Source organism: Homo sapiens, chromosome 4 (genome assembly GCF_000001405.40).
Source record: "Homo sapiens chromosome 4, GRCh38.p14 Primary Assembly".
Taxonomy (NCBI): Eukaryota; Metazoa; Chordata; class Mammalia; order Primates; family Hominidae; genus Homo; species Homo sapiens.
Window position 1 is genome coordinate 120,728,854 of NC_000004.12, and position 17,624 is coordinate 120,746,477.

General features: G+C 39.4%; 1 protein-coding gene across 19 annotated transcripts in view, besides 3 other annotated features; it reads right to left on the minus strand.

The window, feature by feature from the left end:
- PRDM5 (PR/SET domain 5) overlaps positions 1–17,624 on the minus strand; it is a 238,436-nt gene that overhangs the window by 44,563 nt on the left and 176,249 nt on the right. Inside the window, exon 15 of one of the 19 annotated variants that reach the window (XM_047449556.1) lies at positions 2,765–2,937. The exons of the other annotated variants lie outside the window; for them this stretch is intronic. Within the exon in view, the coding sequence (XP_047305512.1) occupies positions 2,926–2,937 (12 nt within the window). The 3' untranslated portion in view covers positions 2,765–2,925. Of the gene's footprint in view, positions 1–2,764; positions 2,938–17,624 lie in introns of those variants that run through there. 19 annotated transcript variants of the gene reach the window in all.
- Positions 5,215–5,421: a silencer, noted in NCBI's record as "fragment chr4:121655223-121655429 (GRCh37/hg19 assembly coordinates)". NCBI's record gives its function as "represses an EF-1alpha promoter that drives an FKBP-Casp9 reporter gene in an ReSE screen in K562 erythroleukemia cells {active_cell/tissue: K562}" and the evidence as "EXISTENCE:reporter gene assay evidence [ECO:0000049][PMID:32094911]".
- Positions 12,166–12,732: an enhancer, noted in NCBI's record as "H3K27ac-H3K4me1 hESC enhancer chr4:121662174-121662740 (GRCh37/hg19 assembly coordinates)". NCBI's record gives its function as "activates a minimal SCP1, AML or CMV promoter by ChIP-STARR-seq in primed H9 embryonic stem cells {active_cell/tissue: H9 hESC(primed)}" and the evidence as "EXISTENCE:reporter gene assay evidence [ECO:0000049][PMID:30033119]".
- Positions 12,733–13,299: an enhancer, noted in NCBI's record as "H3K27ac-H3K4me1 hESC enhancer chr4:121662741-121663307 (GRCh37/hg19 assembly coordinates)". NCBI's record gives its function as "activates a minimal SCP1, AML or CMV promoter by ChIP-STARR-seq in primed H9 embryonic stem cells {active_cell/tissue: H9 hESC(primed)}" and the evidence as "EXISTENCE:reporter gene assay evidence [ECO:0000049][PMID:30033119]".

Genomic DNA, 17,624 nt, shown 5'->3' on the forward strand with positions numbered 1-17,624 from the left:
GTCTGAAAAATATCCAAATGTGTGATAAAGAAATGTAATTTACAATTGAAAGCAGAACTAAAGGAGAGACAAAAACTGAAGGTAAAGAATATAATTTTACAAGTAGCACAATTAAATATTCCTCAGAAGCTAGGAAACTGAAGCCTGCCTAGAAAGATATGAATCTAGGACCCCGCAGGAGACGGCTTTCCCTCTAATGAATTATGGTTGACACAGTGTATAGAGATGAAGTCTCAAGCAGGAAGTGAAGAAAGAGAGAGCCAGAGCCTTGATGTTTCTCAGGATAAGCAGGTTTTTACTTCAGCATCAGCATGGTTTTGGTCAAACTGAAAATGATACCATGTTCTTAGAACATATAACTGCCTCCATTAGAGTAAAAATAAAGAAATCAAAGAATAACAGCTTTTTTATGGAGCAAAAGGAAAGATCCATAACTCTATTTTAATGAATGACCTTTACCCTTAAGACTCTATTTCCTTCATGATTTTAAGAATATGTTTTATTATAATACCTAGAAATACTGAAATCAAGCATTTTTTTAAACCCCACAACATCCATGAGATGAAGGCAGCATGACTGAGAGGCCCCATAGGTCCTTCAAAGCAATAATTCACACAGCCTAAACACCAATCTTGATATAAACTTGCCATGTGACCTACTGTGAGTCATCATTGGCCTAGACGTATCTCCCTGAAAAATTATGGTATCAAAAATAGCCATCTTCAAGGATATGAAAGACTCATATTGAAAATGCTGTTTTGATTTCCTACGATAAAAAGAAACTACAATACAAGGAATTTAGGTAAAAATGTGGACAGTAAGTCTCTCTACATTGAAATTTCCCTTATTATAATGTATTACAAGGGACATGAAATATCTCTTCCTGGTGGCTTTCAAAGTTTTAAAAATATTTCAAAGAAAATAGCTTCTAAGGTATAAGTGAAGGGAAAATGGTGTTGAGGTCCTAGTGGCACCACTAAATGATTTCCTGCGTGGGGTGTCCCCATGCCAGTCATCTTGGTGTGGTCCCAGCAAGAAACATCAGAACAGGAATCCTGAGGACCATGTACTGAGGGAGTCCGGTAGACCCAAGAGATACTGTAGCAGCAACAAGTTGTTATTGAACTCAATGGGAAATTGATACCAGTTTTCTTATGATTTTTCTAAAAGATTAGTTCATTCAATACGGAACATAATACTTTAGAACATCTTGATGGCTGCATATCTAGGAATGAAGAATACGGTTTTTAAGATAAGCTAATTTCCAGTCTTGGGCTGCCTATTAATAGTCATTGTAGTAATGACTACCTGGAATTTGGACAAGCTACTTAAGCTCTCTAAGCCTCACTTCCCTCTTCTGTAACATGGAATATTATATCTATGTCATAGCATTTTGCTTATCTTAATGGTTGGCACATAATATGAACACAATAAGGATATTTTACGTATTATATTAACCTTTCTTCTCTTCACCGTTGCAATATGCATATAAATATAATGTTACCCAAAATTGAAAAAGGCACATGAATCATGTAAATATAACTGGGTAACTTTATGTAGAAATAAAATTATTTAGGAATCTCAACATAGCATAGTTCTTGAAATCCATTAATGGGATCTTCATACAGATAAGTCTTTATCCCAAGATACCTGTGATACCTTAGTAATTAAAATTCTCTGAATAGAGAACAAGATGAACATAAATTTCTGTTCCAGAAAGAAAATAGTTTGGAAATACTGTATTACTTTTCTAAGAATAATGGCCTCATTTCTTTTAAAAATTAATTGCATATTGCCTATCTTTAAAACAAAGAAAAACTCTCTTTATATATATATTTCAGACAGCATGTACTTTCTTTTAAATCCTGAAGTATATTATTAAAGTCTAAAGATAATACAGTGGTGGTGAAGCAACAATCAGCTTCAATGCTAAATATTTATAGAGGTTTATTTTAGCTAAATCTGCAATCTGCTGTACACACACTCTTTGTGGATATACCAAGTTCATAAAGGAGTTTAGTAGACATTCCTGAAACAACTCTACTGTATTATTGTTACAAATGGGGCTGCCCAAGCCAGAGAGACGAAGTTGTTCTCTGACACCACTCTGCCCAGGCCCTTAAAAAAAGAGGTGCAGATAAGATACAAAAGCCCTTAAGAGTTTCCCTTGCAGCAGCTGTGAGAAATAAAGAGACAGGGACTAAAACAGTACTCACCTAAAGCCCTGCTATTTACACTTGAATATTGACTATGACACTTTACAGTCAGTTCAGCAAACAACCTAACAATTTCCCACCGTGTGCTAGGCAGTCAGCTAGACCCTGAAGTTCCGCCCACCATGAGCAAGAGATTTTTACAGGTGTAATTTGAGGGAGAAAGTGACACCAAAAGAGCTCAGTGCAGTGCAATGTACAACAAGTGATGATAGCACAGAGAAGGGGTCCCTCACCCGGCTATGAGATGAGATGGTCAGAAAATGATGGAGGAGGCAATTTCAATTAAACAGAGGTCTTCTTTTTTTTTTTTTTTTTTACAAAAATTTACTTATGGGTAAGAGGCCAGGCAGTACAGCAGAGAAGGAGATGTCAGTTAAAGCAATAAAACTAACAAAAGTCTAGAAAAAGAATGGTATAATTTTGGGCTGGCAAATGAGACTGGAGAAAAATCTGCTTTATATTTATTCCCTTGTTTTTAGTAACAGAAAGTAATTCTATTTAGTGTGGCAACAAGCTTAAGAAAAGATGATAATTCCGGAATTCCTCACCGCCAAGTGTGGTCATGTGGAAGTTGGTGGGTAGGACTTCCAGAAAGCTCCTTAGTGGAAGTGTAATCAGCAGGGGCGTATCCTGTTACCTTCTCTTGCCTCCTCCTTCCTGTTGCCTGGAATGAGGATGTGATGGCCAGAGTGGCAAAATCCATCTTGAGTCACACTGGAACCTTGACAATGGAAGCCACATGCCTGGATGACTTTGTGGAAGTGTCAAACTATCCCTGGAATGCCTACTTCTGCACACTTATAAATAAACCCCTTCATGTTTAAGAGACATGGCTGGGTCTCTGTGATTAGCAAGGCAAGGAATTTCTGACACCAAGCTGGTTGAAAATATTAAGGGTATAATTCTGTGAGTAGGTGACAGAAGTTGTAATGGTTCCTATAGCTAAGATAGTTAAGGAACTGTGTGTCTGATGAGGTGTTCAAATTAATGTTGAACCATCTCAGGATAAGGGTAGGCATTTGGGTGGCTTAAGAGGAGCTCCTGCAGTCTTTACCATATGGAGGTCATCTAAAAGACTGGTAGCTGAACATAAAAAAGGGAGAATTTGCAGGGTCTATTATCTATTGTTTTATTCTTAAGACTGAATATATTATACACAGTTCATATGATCATTAGGAAGATTTCTTGATTAGAATATAAGTACTTAACTCAGTACATAGTATATAATGATCAATAAAAAGTTACTCATTCTAAAATATACTTCTTAACATCTAATATTAAGTAATCAGATAATATTATTTGTTTTATGCACTTTCAGAAACTTTGTCCTTTTCACATTAATAAAGATCCACTTACAAGATCTCCAATTTTACAGAAAAGATAGACAAATTCCAATAGTAATAACAATATAAATTCCTAACAAGTAAATTTTATATTCATTGTAACTTATCTCTTGAAATCAGATGTATTGCTTGAAAATAACTGATCTCTGAGGTTGTTACCTCAGGACAATACAACAGGTTACTTCACAATAAAATTTTTTAAACAGGTAATAATTTTATATAACATATTACTAAAAATAAAAAACTATAAAAACTAAAAAATGGTATAATACTCCTGCTCTCTAACCTAACCTGTTATTCAGTTTCCCTTTAATTTCATGACCAAATGAATTTGAGGAAAGATAATGTCATCGAAGTGCTTGCAGAGAGAGAAATATTCCTGCTATAACTAGCTATACCCAGTCTTTACGATATTTTGACTTAAATTCCCTCATTTTTAAATAAAGGGGTTGGATCAACTGACCTCTTATATGCTTTGCAGCTGGGATATTCTGTGACTCTAGACTGCACTCAAAATAGGTCACAAATAATGAAGACATTTTAGAAATGTTGTGCATTGTATTTTGTTCTAGCTAGTAATAGCAAATACCTACAGCCTTAGCAATTGTTATAGTTTTACTAGTCTCAACCTACAAGACCATTTGTGTGATATAAAAGAAAAAAGATATGAAAGAAAAATAGGTAAGTTCAAGGGATAGACAGAGCTGCTTGGACTGAATATTTTCTTTATTTCATAGGTTTGTGTTTCAGTAAAGAGGGAACACCTAGTCTTATTGTTCATTTTATTACTCCATTCTCTCACTGGGAAACAAATGAAAGCCTGTTCTGACTTACTGTTATCAACACAATCAATCCTATCTTCCTGTCCCAGCACCTGGGACTCCTCACAGTCTTGCCATGCCTGCCTGACCCCCACCTCATGCTCCAGTTCTCAACAACGCACACCTTGGGCTCTCTCCTACAGTGGGCTTCTCACCCACCCACAAATCACAGCTTCACATCCTTGCACACGACACTCAGTTGGTTTGCAATGCCCTACCCCCAATCTTGTTCCTTTTCCTAGAAAACTCAGACTCATACTTTCTGATCCAATTCAGACTTCCTCAGTGGACCCTACCTGGTCTCCCTGGGGCAGAGCCAGATGCTTTGTTTTCCATGTTCCAATGTTGCCATCACACATGGTTCTCTTTCACTGTAAGAATATCTAATGCAACAATGCCAGCTTCCCACTCCCCTTCTGGGTATGCAGAGAACTCCAGGTGGCTGAGACCAGGTTTTAAACACACTGTCCTTTCGATGTTAATAATGTTAATAAAGATCTATTTAGAAAGTCTCCATTTTTACAAAAAAGATATATAAATACCAATGAGGATGAGGATAAAATCATACAACATGCAGTTATATTGTGGAAAGACTGAATGAATACGTGAACTAAGCTCTAAGAAAAAAAGAAACAGAAGAAAAACAATGACACAAAAGTAAAAAAAAAAAAAAACAAAAAAACTGGGCTAATATAATTAATGTACCAGTAAAGTATGCCGATGGCAGAGGTGGCAGGGAAGAATGTATAAAAAGTGAGACCTGACCAGGAGAGGGACTGCTTTATTTGTAGCCTCAAAAAGTATTGAAGTGGACCTAGGCAAGCATGGTCATCCTTAGGAGAAGGACACATGGTCCAAACTGGCTGAGGCCCAGAGTGTCCAGGAGGAAGGGGGCACGGGCGGGGCAGACGGCAGGCAGCACAGCCAGCCTGGCACAGGGCACCCAGGCTAAGCCACCTGGGCTCCATTCTGCAGGCAGAGAGGAGCCGCTGTAGGGGATGGGGGAGGGCTTTGTTTGTTTGTTTTTTTTTTAGCAACTGAGACAGTTGATCAAAGCAATCTTTATAAGTATTGATGCAGCCATACATGGGATGCATTAGACCAGAGATTCTTGAATTGTGTTTTGTAAAAGACTAGCTCCAGTGAGATGTTAGTGGAACACACACACACACACACACACACACAAATACACACACACACACACACACACACACCCTTACTCACTACGTTCAAACTAGCCTGGCAAACACTAGCCTAAACAAACTATAAGAAATGCCTTTATTGCTGGATTTCTCAGAATCTGGAATATGGTTATATGTATCATAAAACTGCAAGATTCAGACAGAGCATGTGATTTTTCCCAGAAATGCTGAAACGCTTCCCTTCCCTTGGCTTCAGTGCCACCTCCCTGTTTTCTCCTGGTTCTCCTTCAGCCTCTTTGGCTGCTCCTTCCTGGTTTCCTTTTGGACAATATTCTGGGGCTTAGCCACTTTTTTTTCCATTCCACATAGATGTCTCCAGTGTATTTTCTACTTCTGCAGACTAAACGCTCCTCTGTTTCTTCCGACACCTTTCCTTGCCTAGCCCTCCTCCTATGCTGAGGTAAGTGATCTTCCTATGTGCACATACAGCACCCTGGGATACTTTCAGCGTGGTCTTTGCCATGCTTTATCTCGTTGTCTTCTCCCCCAGACTCTGCAAGGGCTGCAGCCTTTTCTTAACTGTTCCTTCAGTACACGGCACATAGCACAGAAGCTGACTCTGTAACAGTTAGTTGGCCATCTGAGACCAAATGCATGTTCTTAAAGAGTTACAATTAGAAACATAACACATTGGTCAAAGAAAGTCCCTTTAATCAGGAGTTCTCTATACATGTAACAACTGTTTGAAGTCATTGTTAAGTGAAGTTAAATAGAAACTGTCATGGAATTCCCTAAGATCAATTCTTTTGCTTTTAATTTTTGACATTATGTGAGATAATCAAGAAAGGCCCTGTGTCACCATGGTGTCATCCAACTTACACTACAGGGAACTGATTTTATTCCTACTGTTCAGAATAACAGCAATATAAATCAATCTGTAAACTAAAAGTTCCTTAAATAATCCTTTCAAATGAAACTCTGTCTAAATTTTACATTATTCATATGTTCAAATGATAATGAGCTCATAAGTGTCTCCAATACCTCAGTTAAAACACTGATTCCAGCTGTGGTAACAGTCCCTGAGAGTTATGTGATAGACAGAAAAGGAGGCACTTACAGGACACTGGCCTTTGTGCTACTGTACCCTACTGGGGCATAAAAAAAAAAGCTGTTCACTTAAAATGCTGAGATTTCTCCTGCCAGGTCTGGAGGCTGGATGGGAGATACAGTCTTTTGATTTTAACCACAGATGTTTTATTCCTTGCTCTAAAGCAGTGGGAGAAAGAGGGAGACCAAATGGAGACTAGGAAAAGCCCACTGGAAAGGGCTCTACTGATTCTCAAGACGATGACTGGGGGCATCGTCTTGAGACACTCCCTTATCTCTGCCCAAAATCACCTGGACAGGATAACAAAAAATTGTCAGCAGGCTGAGGAGAACCCAGGCTCAGGCTCAAGAAAAGAGATGTCTAATACTTTTTAAATATATAAATGTATGGGGTACGAGTGCAATTTTGTTACAAGCCTAGATTGTGTAGTAATTAAGTCAGGGCTTTTAGGTTGTCCATCCCCCAAATAATATACATTATACCCATGAAGTAATTTCTCCTCATCCTTACTCCTCTCACTCCTCACCCTCTGAGTCTCCACTGTCTATCATTCCATTCTGTATGTCCATTTTTTTAGCACCCATTTATAAGTGAGAACATGTGATGTCTGGCCTTCTGTGTCTGGCTTGTTCCACTTAAGATAATGGCCTCCAATTCCATCCATTTTGTTGCAGAAATCATGATTTCATTCTTTCTATGCTTGAATACTATCCTTTTGTGTGTGTGTGTGTGTGTGTGTGTGTGTGTGTGTGTGTGTATCACATTTTCTTTATCCAATCATCTGTTGATGGATACTCAGGTTGATTCCACATCTTTGCTATTGTGAATAGTGCTGCAACAAACACGAGAGCAGGTATCTTTTTGATATAATGATTTCTTTTCATTTGGACAGGCACCCACTAGTGGGCTTGCTGGATCAAACAGAACTAATCGATGATTGATGATGCTGGTAGTGGCCAGTAACCAGCGAGAGACAAAGTAATTAGCAGGGCTGAAAATGCCAACACTCTGAGATCACTGACCTTCAAAAGCTCCTCAAGAGCCCTGAGCGTAAAGCCCAAACATGTTTATCCAGCATTCAGAGACGACCTTTTATCATCTGCCCTCTGTGCATCCCAGACGCCTCTTTTTTAGTACACCTTCTATTTTACTCCACGACCCACCCATATGAAGTTATCGGACACTCTCAGGCATCTTGTACTATATATTCGATCATGTATCCCTAACACCTAGCAGAGTGCTGGCATATAGTTGGCTTACTAAACATTTGCAGAATTAGTGAATTTTCCTATCCAGGTATCCAAGAAACACAGTCTTTAGATCAATGAGCACAATCTCTGGCACAGTGACATATTAATGGCACACAGATAGTGACTAGTTGTAAAGTGATCTCTTATTAAAAATAAAATACTATAATTTGCAAAAGTCTACTTCCTTTTCACAAATGAGGTGGGTTTTAATCTTAACCCCTAATAACACCATTTTCATTCATTTCCATCCCAGTATGCTGTCCTACAACAGCAATAAGTAGGAGAGTTAAGGCTTGAGCTTGAAGAATTGTACATAGTCCATGCTGTGGCCTGAGGTGTCTGCCCACCTGAGCTTCATCTGTCAGGCGTGTCAGGCAGATAACTAGGGTGAGAGTGGCTTCATCAGAGGATCACAGATCTCTGGCTTCCTTCTGTGGCAAGTATACCTCTAAAAACAAACTCTTCAGAGCCAGATGACAAGAATGGTCCAGACAGGCAACCAGGGAAGGCCGGGCCCAGTGTACATCAATGCAGAGCATCAAGTTCAGAGTAATAGGTGTACAGTTGCTTATTCCTGCCTAGACAGATAGAACTGCCTCCCATATGGTAAAATGTGGAAATGCAGAGAAGCACATGCAACTGAAGAAGACAACCACAGCAACAAGGAAGGGCAACTGAGAGCTAAGAGAGAGCCATGCCAAAGACTCCAGGACCTCGGAGTAGGCCTGGTACCAGTTATATACTTGGGACCCAGTACTTTCCCACGCCATCACTTGGCATACTTGGGATTATGTGTTACTTAAAATAATGTCCTTAGTGTCCGTCTTTCCTGACAGACACAAGCAGGGCCTGTGACACTACAGCTGCTGGCACACAGTTGGGCACATCACAAACATCTGATGAATGCACGCACTCTTGCCTTCTCATACCTTCTTGTCAAGTCTTTAGTGAGAAGGAATTGCTGATTAGAAAAGAATTAAACTTATGAGTGACTCCCAGCTCCACTGAAGGTAGAGACAATGTCTGATTTGTGTACTGCTATAGTCCCAGCTCTTAGCACAGTGTAGTCATTTAATCAATGTTTGTTGAATAAATAAATGAATGGATTCATATATCTTATCTAGCTATATATTTGCTCAGTTAATTTGGTAAATTTAATAATTCGCTTCTGACATAATTTCACTTCATTCCTTCAACAAACCTAATAACTCACTAGATGCCAGGCACACAGCTGCTAAGGAAAAAGAGATGTGAGCTACAATTCCTGTCTACATGAAAGTCACAACCTAAAAAGGAGAAACATATAAACAAATTATAAAAATAAGTTTTCTAAATTCAAAAACAGAGGTTTGTGTATTTAAAACAGCTTTAGTCAGAGAGCATTAACAAAGAAAGTCCCAAATAGGGAACGTCCCAACCAACCTCCTAATCTTAAGCAGAGATCACCCACGCTTGAGTTTGCCAGACCATCAGCCTCAACAGCAAGAATTACCTTCCTGATGCCCCCAAATAAGTATCATTCTGATTACAGTAGTACTGCTAGATAACTCAGTTTCAGACTCTACCGTTGTCATTCAATGTTCTATAAAGTACTAAGGAGAAAATCGTATAATGGTGATGAACCTATTCACTTTAGCCATCCTAATATGACACCAATTATAAGGCCAATTACTTAAAAGGAAAGCTCTTAATTTAACTTATTTATATAAATTTCAGTGTTATGTAAGCAAATTTGCCATCAGATTTTGAAACTACAGATTAAATAGTATGTAAGTATAATGAGAGCCTTTAAGTTCACACTTTCCTGGGTCTCCCAAATCTTTTTTAGAATACTATAAGCCTTTCTAAACAACTGATAGTATATTTTTTTAAACTGAATTGTAAGATGTGTATTTTCCAAAAACAAAATACAACTCCCATTGGTAAATGGTGATATTGAGATACAACAGCTAACTTCTCTTTGGGAACATTTAGTAAGTGCTCACTTTAGAGCTCTGTCCATAAATGTTTATCATTTAAAATATAGAAGAATATTACACAATTAAAATTGTACTTATTCAGCATTATGTAATATTTAGTACTTGTTCTAGTTATCTATTACTACATAATAAACCATCCAAAACTTAATACATTATTATTGTTTATGGTTTAATATTTGTTTATTTTAATTATTTTGTTTAATGATATAAAATAACATTATTTTTCATGGTTTTGTGGATTGACTGGGTTCTGCAACAGTTTTCACTTGGAGTCTTTCTTGCAGTTGCAGTCAGTTGGCTGCAGCTGAAGTTATCTGAAGGCTCAACTAAGCTAGAAAGCCAAAATGGCTTACTCAGATGGCTGGCAGTACACGTTAGCTATTATGTGGCATGCCTATCTGGCCTCTCCACATTACTTGAGGTCCTCACAACATGGTGATTGGTCCCAAGAGATACAGACAAAAGTTCAAAGCTTATTCTGTTCCAGCCTCGGATATCCTAGAACATCACTTCTGCTGTATTCTATTATCCAAGCAAGTCATTGTGCCCAGCTTAGATTCAAGGAAAGGAAACTGGACTGTACTTCTTAATGTAAAGAGCAGCAGGTGCATACAGGGAGGAAAGAGATTACCAGCACCACCTTGGAGACTACCTTACTACACCATTATTCCAACTAATGCACATTATGTTCTAGATGGGTAGTACCAGCTTCCCCTCCCCACAAAAAGTTCAAGTTAGGCAAAGACATATAGAATGAGAATGCAGATACCATTTAAAAAACTGTAGAAAAATCACAGCCAATGCCTCTAGTCAGTTCAATCCCTCACATCAATGTAACTCTACTCTTGTAACCTTAACTATAGTAAAACAGAATTTTGTTCCACAAAGACTTTTGTCTATTTTCCTATGGGATAATTAACCAACCCAAAAAATTTGTCAAGAGAATGAAATCAAGCTTACTTTAAAATTTCACCTTTTACTCTCAAAGCCTATCAAAATCCAGAGAACCATGATCTAGCATGCCTGGACCCAAAGTCCTTATTTCAGGAGCATCATTTGGTATGCCAAAAAAGTATTCCTAACTGGGAAATTTAAAACTTTCTTTTCTGGTGATATTTAAGATAGCTGACTGGCTCATGGGCAGAAGTTACACAGAGATTAAGAATAGAGGGCACTCTGCCAAGTGGGTTGATGACCATCAGAAAGAATTTTCACAAAGGAGAAATGAAGAAAAAGAAAGGGGGTAATGATGCTGTCGGTCTCTGAAAGGAAAGTGATTTTTCAAGTGGTCTGATTTTCCCTTTTACAAAAGAAAATGCCTTATTGTGATAGAATAAGAATGCTCAATTTCATGCAGGTATATATTTGGAGCCAAATAAAATACAACGGTATTTTGAAGTCATTTATCTTAAATGATTCCTTGGCAAGGCATATAAAATTCCCCAAGAAATATATGGGTTCTAGAAACAATAAAAGATTCACTAATTCCAAAATCGAATTAACGATATTTTCAAACAGTGACAATGAGGCATATTCTCTTGTTCCTATAGGACAAAAGCTGATGAAGTTTAGAAATTCTAAAAATGTTAAATTTTCTCCATATTCATAATAAACTATTCTTAAAAGTTATTAAATTTGTACATCTCTTCTTCTTATCCAGACATAAAAACAGAAATAGCTATTAGCACTCCTCAGGCACTTAACCCAGATAATTGTGAATCCAGTATCCGCTCCTCCCCTCCTTCCTCTCTAAACCCACAAGCTGCTCTTCCTGTCTCTATGTGGAAAATCACAATATCCCAAAATGCCCCTGGTAGGCGTCCTAGATTCATCTGTGACTCCTCCCTATTCTTCACCACCTATACTGAGTATGTCTAAACCTTGTCCAAACTTTGTCAATACTTATCTCAAAGGTGTCCCTCATATATGTGCCTGACTCTCAGATCCCATGGCCATCTCATGTGGGTCCCTATTCCTGCTCACCTGGCTCCATCGTGTCTCCTGAATGGGCCTCCCTGACTCAAGTGCTACTTCCTTCAATTCTTGCTGGAGAATGATTCAGAGCAACCTTTCTAAGAGATAGAACTGATAATGTCACTCCTCTACTCAAAACCAAACCAAACACACACAATAAAATGTTTTCACAATTCATACCAACTGCTCAATCTCAGCCTGTCTCAACATAAGTCATCCTTCAACATGTATCCTCAAACTCAGTTACAGTGGACAGGCCACCCTTACTGTATCTGTAGGTGTGCACTTTGCTTATGCAGTCACATTTTTTTCTGGCCTGCCCTCTACCATACTCCTTCAAACACAACTCAAATATCATCCTCTATCTCTAGTCCTGGAATCCACCAGCCCTCCCAATCCGATTCAACCAACTTGCTTTTGCATCTGTTTCCTAAGCTTTTTATGCATGCCTCCTAATGTGTCCATGAGGATTTCAAGATGATTCTCACCCTTAAAAGACTCCTTTCTGTTCTCAACCAACGCTGCATATCCTCTATACGATGCTTCTGGAGCTAGGAAAATTATTCTTGCCTTTTGCTCCCTTTAGCATACAGCAGCCCTCACTCCTCCTGCCTTAACATCTTAATTCAAATAGAATGAACCTTTTTCTTTTTCCTTCAACATCATGCTTACACTCACTCACATGGTTCATCAGCTTGATGTATTGGTCAAAATTTTTGGTTATCAGGGGGGAGGAGCCAAGATGGCCGAATAGGAACAGCTCTGGTCTACAGCTCCCAGCCTGAACCACGCAGAAGACGGGTGATTACTGCATTTCCATCTGAGGTACCGGGTTCATCTCACTAGGGAGTGCCAGACAGTGAGCGCAGGTCAGTGGGTGCGCGCACTGTGCACGAGCCGAAGCAGGGCCAGGCATTGCCTCACTCGGGAAGCACAAAGGGTCAGGGAGTTCCCTTTCCTAATCAAAGAAAGGGGTGACGGACAGCACCTGGAAAATAGGGTCACTCCCACCCGAATACTGCGCTTTTCCGACAGGCTTAAAAAAACGGCACACCACGAGATTATATCATGCACCTGGCTCAGAGGGTCCTACCCCACGGAGTCTCGCTGATTGCTAGCACAGCAGTCTGAGATCAAACTGCAAGGCAGCAGCGAGGCTGGGGGAGGGGTGCCCACCATTGCCCAGGCTTGCTTAGGTAAACAAAGCAGCCAGCCAGCTCAAACTGGGTGGAGCCCACCACAGCTCAAGGAGGCCTGCCTGCCTCTGTAGGCTCCACCTCTAGGGGCAGGGCACAGACAAACAAAAAGATAGCAGTAACCTCTGCAGACTTAAATGTCCCTGTCTGACAGCTTTGAAGAGAGCAGTGGTTCTCCCAGTACGCAGCTGGAGATCTGAGAACAGGCAGACTGCCTCCTCAAGTGGGTCCCTGACCCCTGACCCCCCGAGCAGCCTAACTGGGAGGCACCCTCCAGCAGGGGCACACTAACACCTCACACTGCAGGGTACTCCAACAGACCTGAAGCTGAGGGTCTTGTCTGTTAGAAGGAAAACTAACAAACAGAAAGGACATCCACACCAAAAACCCATCTGTACATCACCATCATCAAAGACCAAAGGTAGATAAAACCACAAAGATGGGGAAAAAACAGAACAGAAAAACTGGAAACTCTAAAAAGCAGAGCGCCTCTCCTCCTCCAAAGGAATGCAGCTCCTCACCAGCAATGGAACAAAGCTGGACGGAGAATGACTTTGACGAGTTGAGAGAAGAAGGCTTCAGATGATCAAATTACTCTGAGCTACAGGAGGACATTCAAACCAAAGGCAAAGAAGTTGAAAACTTTGAAAAAAATTTAGAAGAATGTATAACTAGAATAACCAATACAGAGAAGTGCTTAAAGGAGCTGATGGAGCTGAAAACCAAGGCTTGAGAACTACGTGAAGAATGCAAAAGCCTCAGGAGCCGAAGCGATCAACTGGAAGAAAGGGTATCAGCAATGGAAGGTGAAATGAATGAAATGAAGCGAGAAGGAAAGTTTAGAGAAAAAAGAATAAAAAGAAACGAGCAAAGCCTCCAAGAAATATGGGACTATGTGAAAAGACCAAATCTACGTCTGATTGGTGTACCTGAAAGTGATGGGGAGAATGGAACCAAGTTGGAAAACACTCTGCAGGATATTATCCAGGAGAATTTCCCCAATCTAGCAAGGCAGGCCAACGTTCAGGTTCAGGAAATACAGAGAATGCCACAAAGATACTCCTCGAGAAGAGCAACTCCAAGACACATAATTGTCAGATTCACCAAAGTTGAAATGAAGGCAAAAATGTTAAGGGCAGCCAGAGAGAAAGGTCGGGTTACCTTCAAAGGGAAGCCCATCAGACTAATAGCGGATCTCTCGGCAGAAACCCTACAAGCCAGAAGAGAGTGGGGGCCGATATTCAACATTCTTAAAGAAAAGAATTTTCAACCCAGAATTTCATATCCAGCCAAACTAAGCTTCATAAGTGAAGGAGAAATAAAATACTTTACAGACAAGGAAATGCTGAGAGATTTTGTCACCACTAGGCCTGCCCTAAAAGAGCTCCTGAAGGAAGCACTAAACAAGGAAAGGAACAACCGGTACCAGCCGCTGCAAAATCATGCCAAAATGTAAAGACCATTGAGACTAGGAAGAAACTGCATCAACTAACGAGCAAAATAACCAGCTAACATCATAATGACAGGATCAAATTCACACATAACACTATTAACTTTAAATGTAAATGGACTAAATGCTCCAATTAAAAGACACAGACTGGCAAATTGGATAAAGAGTCAAGACCCATCAGTGTGCTGTATTCAGGAAACCCATCTCACGTGCAGAGACACACATAGGCTCAAAATAAAAGGATGGAGGAAGATCTACCAAGCAAATGGAAAACAAAAAAAGGCAGGGGTTGCAATCCTAGTCTCTGATAAAACAGACTTTAAACCAACAAAGATCAAAACAGACAAAGAAGGCCATGACATAATGGTAAAGGGATCAATTCAACAAGAAGAGCTAACTATCCTAAATATATATGCACCCAATACAGGAGCACCCAGATTCATAAAGCAAGTCCTGAGTGACCTACAAAGAGACTTAGACTCCCACACATTAATAATGGGAGACTTTAACACCCCACTGTCAACATTAGACAGATCAACGAGACAGAAAGTTAACAAGGATACCCAGGAATTGAACTCAGCTCTGCACCAAGCGGACCTAACAGACATCTACAGAACTCTTCACCCCAAATCAACAGAATATACATTTTTTTCAGCACCACACCACACCTATTCCAAAATTGACCACATACTTGGAAGTAAAGCTCTCCTCAGCAAATGTAAAAGAAGAGAAATTATAACAAACTATCTCTCAGACCACAGTGCAATCAAACTAGAACGCAGGATTAAGAATCTCACTCAAAACCGCTCAACTACATGGAAACTGAACAACGTGCTCCTGAATGACTACTGGGTACATAACGAAATGAAGGCAGAAATAAAGATGTTCTTTGAAACCAATGAGAACAAAGACACAACTTACCAGAATCTCTGGGACACATTCAAAGCAGTGTGTAGAGAGAAATTTATAGCACTAAATGCCCACAAGAGAAAGGAGGAAAGATCCAAAATTGACACCCTAACATCACAATTAAAAGAACTAGAAAAGCAAGAGCAAACACACTCAAAAGCTAGCAGGAGGCAACAAATAACTAAAATCAGAGCAGAACTGAAGGAAATAGAGACACAAAAAACCCTTCAAAAAATTAATGAATCCAGGAGCTGGTTTTTTGAAAGGATCAACAAAATTGATAGACCGCTAGCAAGACTAATAAAGAAAAAAAGAGAGAAGAATCAAATAGACGCAAGAAAAAATGATAAAGGGGATATTACCACGGATCCCACAGAAATACAAACTACCATCAGAGAATACTACAAACACCTCTACGCAAATAAACTAGAAAATCTAGAAGAAATGGATAAATTCCTTGACACATACACTCTCCCAAGACTAAACCAGGAAGAAGTTGAATCTCTGAATAGACCAATAACAGGATCTGAAATTGTGGCAAGAATCAATAGCTTACCAACCAAAAAGAGTCCAGGACCAGATGGATTCACAGCCGAATTCTACCAGAGGTACAAGGAGGAACTGGTACCATTCCTTCTGAAACTATTCCAATCAATAGAAAAAGAGGGAATCCTCCCTAACTCATTTTATAAGGCCAGCATCATTCTGATACCAAAGCCAGGCAGAGACACAACCAAAAAAGAGAATTTTAGACCAATATCCTTGATTAACACTGATGCAAAAATCCTCAATAAAATACTGGCAAACCGAATCCAGCAGCACATCAAAAAGCTTATCCACCATGATCAAGTGGGCTTCATCCCTGGGATGCAAGGCTGGTTCAATATACGCAAATCAATAAATGTAATCCAGCATATAAACAGAGCCAAAGACAAAAACCACATGATTATCTCAATAGATGCAGAAAAGGCCTTTGACAAAATTCAACAACCCTTCATGCTAAAAACTCTCAATAAATTAGGTATTGATGGGACATATTTCAAAATAATAAGAGCTATCTATGACAAACCCACAGCCAATATCATACTGAATGGGCAAAAACTGGAAGCATTCCCTTTGAAAACTGGCACAAGACAGGGATGCCCTCTCTCACCACTCCTATTCAACATAGTGTTGGAAGTTCTGGCCAGGGCAGTTAGGCAGGAGAAGGAAATAAAGGGTATTCAATTAGGAAAAGAGGAAGTCAAATTGTCCCTGTTTGCAGATGAGATGATTGTATATCTAGAAAACCCCATCGTCTCAGCCCAAAATCTCCTTAAGCTGATAAGCAACTTCAGCAAAGTCTCAGGATACAAAATCAATGTGCAAAAATCACAAGCATTCCTATACACCAACAACAGACAAACAGAGAGCCAAATCATGAGTGAACTCCCATTCACAATTGCTTCAAAGAGAATAAAATACCTAGGAATCCAACTTACAAGGGATGTGAAGGACCTCTTCAAGGAGAACTACAAACCGCTGCTCAAGGAAATAAAAGAGGATACAAACAAATGGAAGAACATTCCATGCTCATGGGTAGGAAGAATCAATATCGTGAAAATGGCCATACTGCCCAAGGTAATTTACAGATTCAATGTCATCCCCATCAAGCTACCAATGCCTTTCTTCACAGAATTGGAAAAAACTACTTTAAAGTTCATATGGAACCAAAAAAGAGCCCGCATTTCCAAGTCAATCCTAAGCCAAAAGAACAAAGCTGGAGGCATCACACTACCTGACTTCAAACTATACTACAAGGCTACAGTAACCAAAACAGCATGGTACTGGTACCAAAACAGAGATATAGATCAATGGAACAGAACAGAGCCCTCAGAAATAACGTCGCATATCTACAACTATCTGATCTTTGACAAACCTGACAAAAACAAGAAATGGGGAAAGGATTCCCTATTTAATAAATGGTGCTGGGAAAACTGGCTAGCCATATGTAGAAAGCTGAAACTGGATCCCTTCCTTACACCTTATACAAAAATTAATTCCAGATGGATTAAAGACTTAAATGTTAGACCTAAAACCATAAAAACCCTAGAAGAAAACCTAGGCATTACCATTCAGGACATAGGCATGGGCAAGGACTTCATGTCTAAAACACCAAAAGCAATGGCAACAAAAGCCAAAATGGACAAATGGGATCTAATTAAACTAAAGAGCTTCTGCACAGCAAAAGAAACTA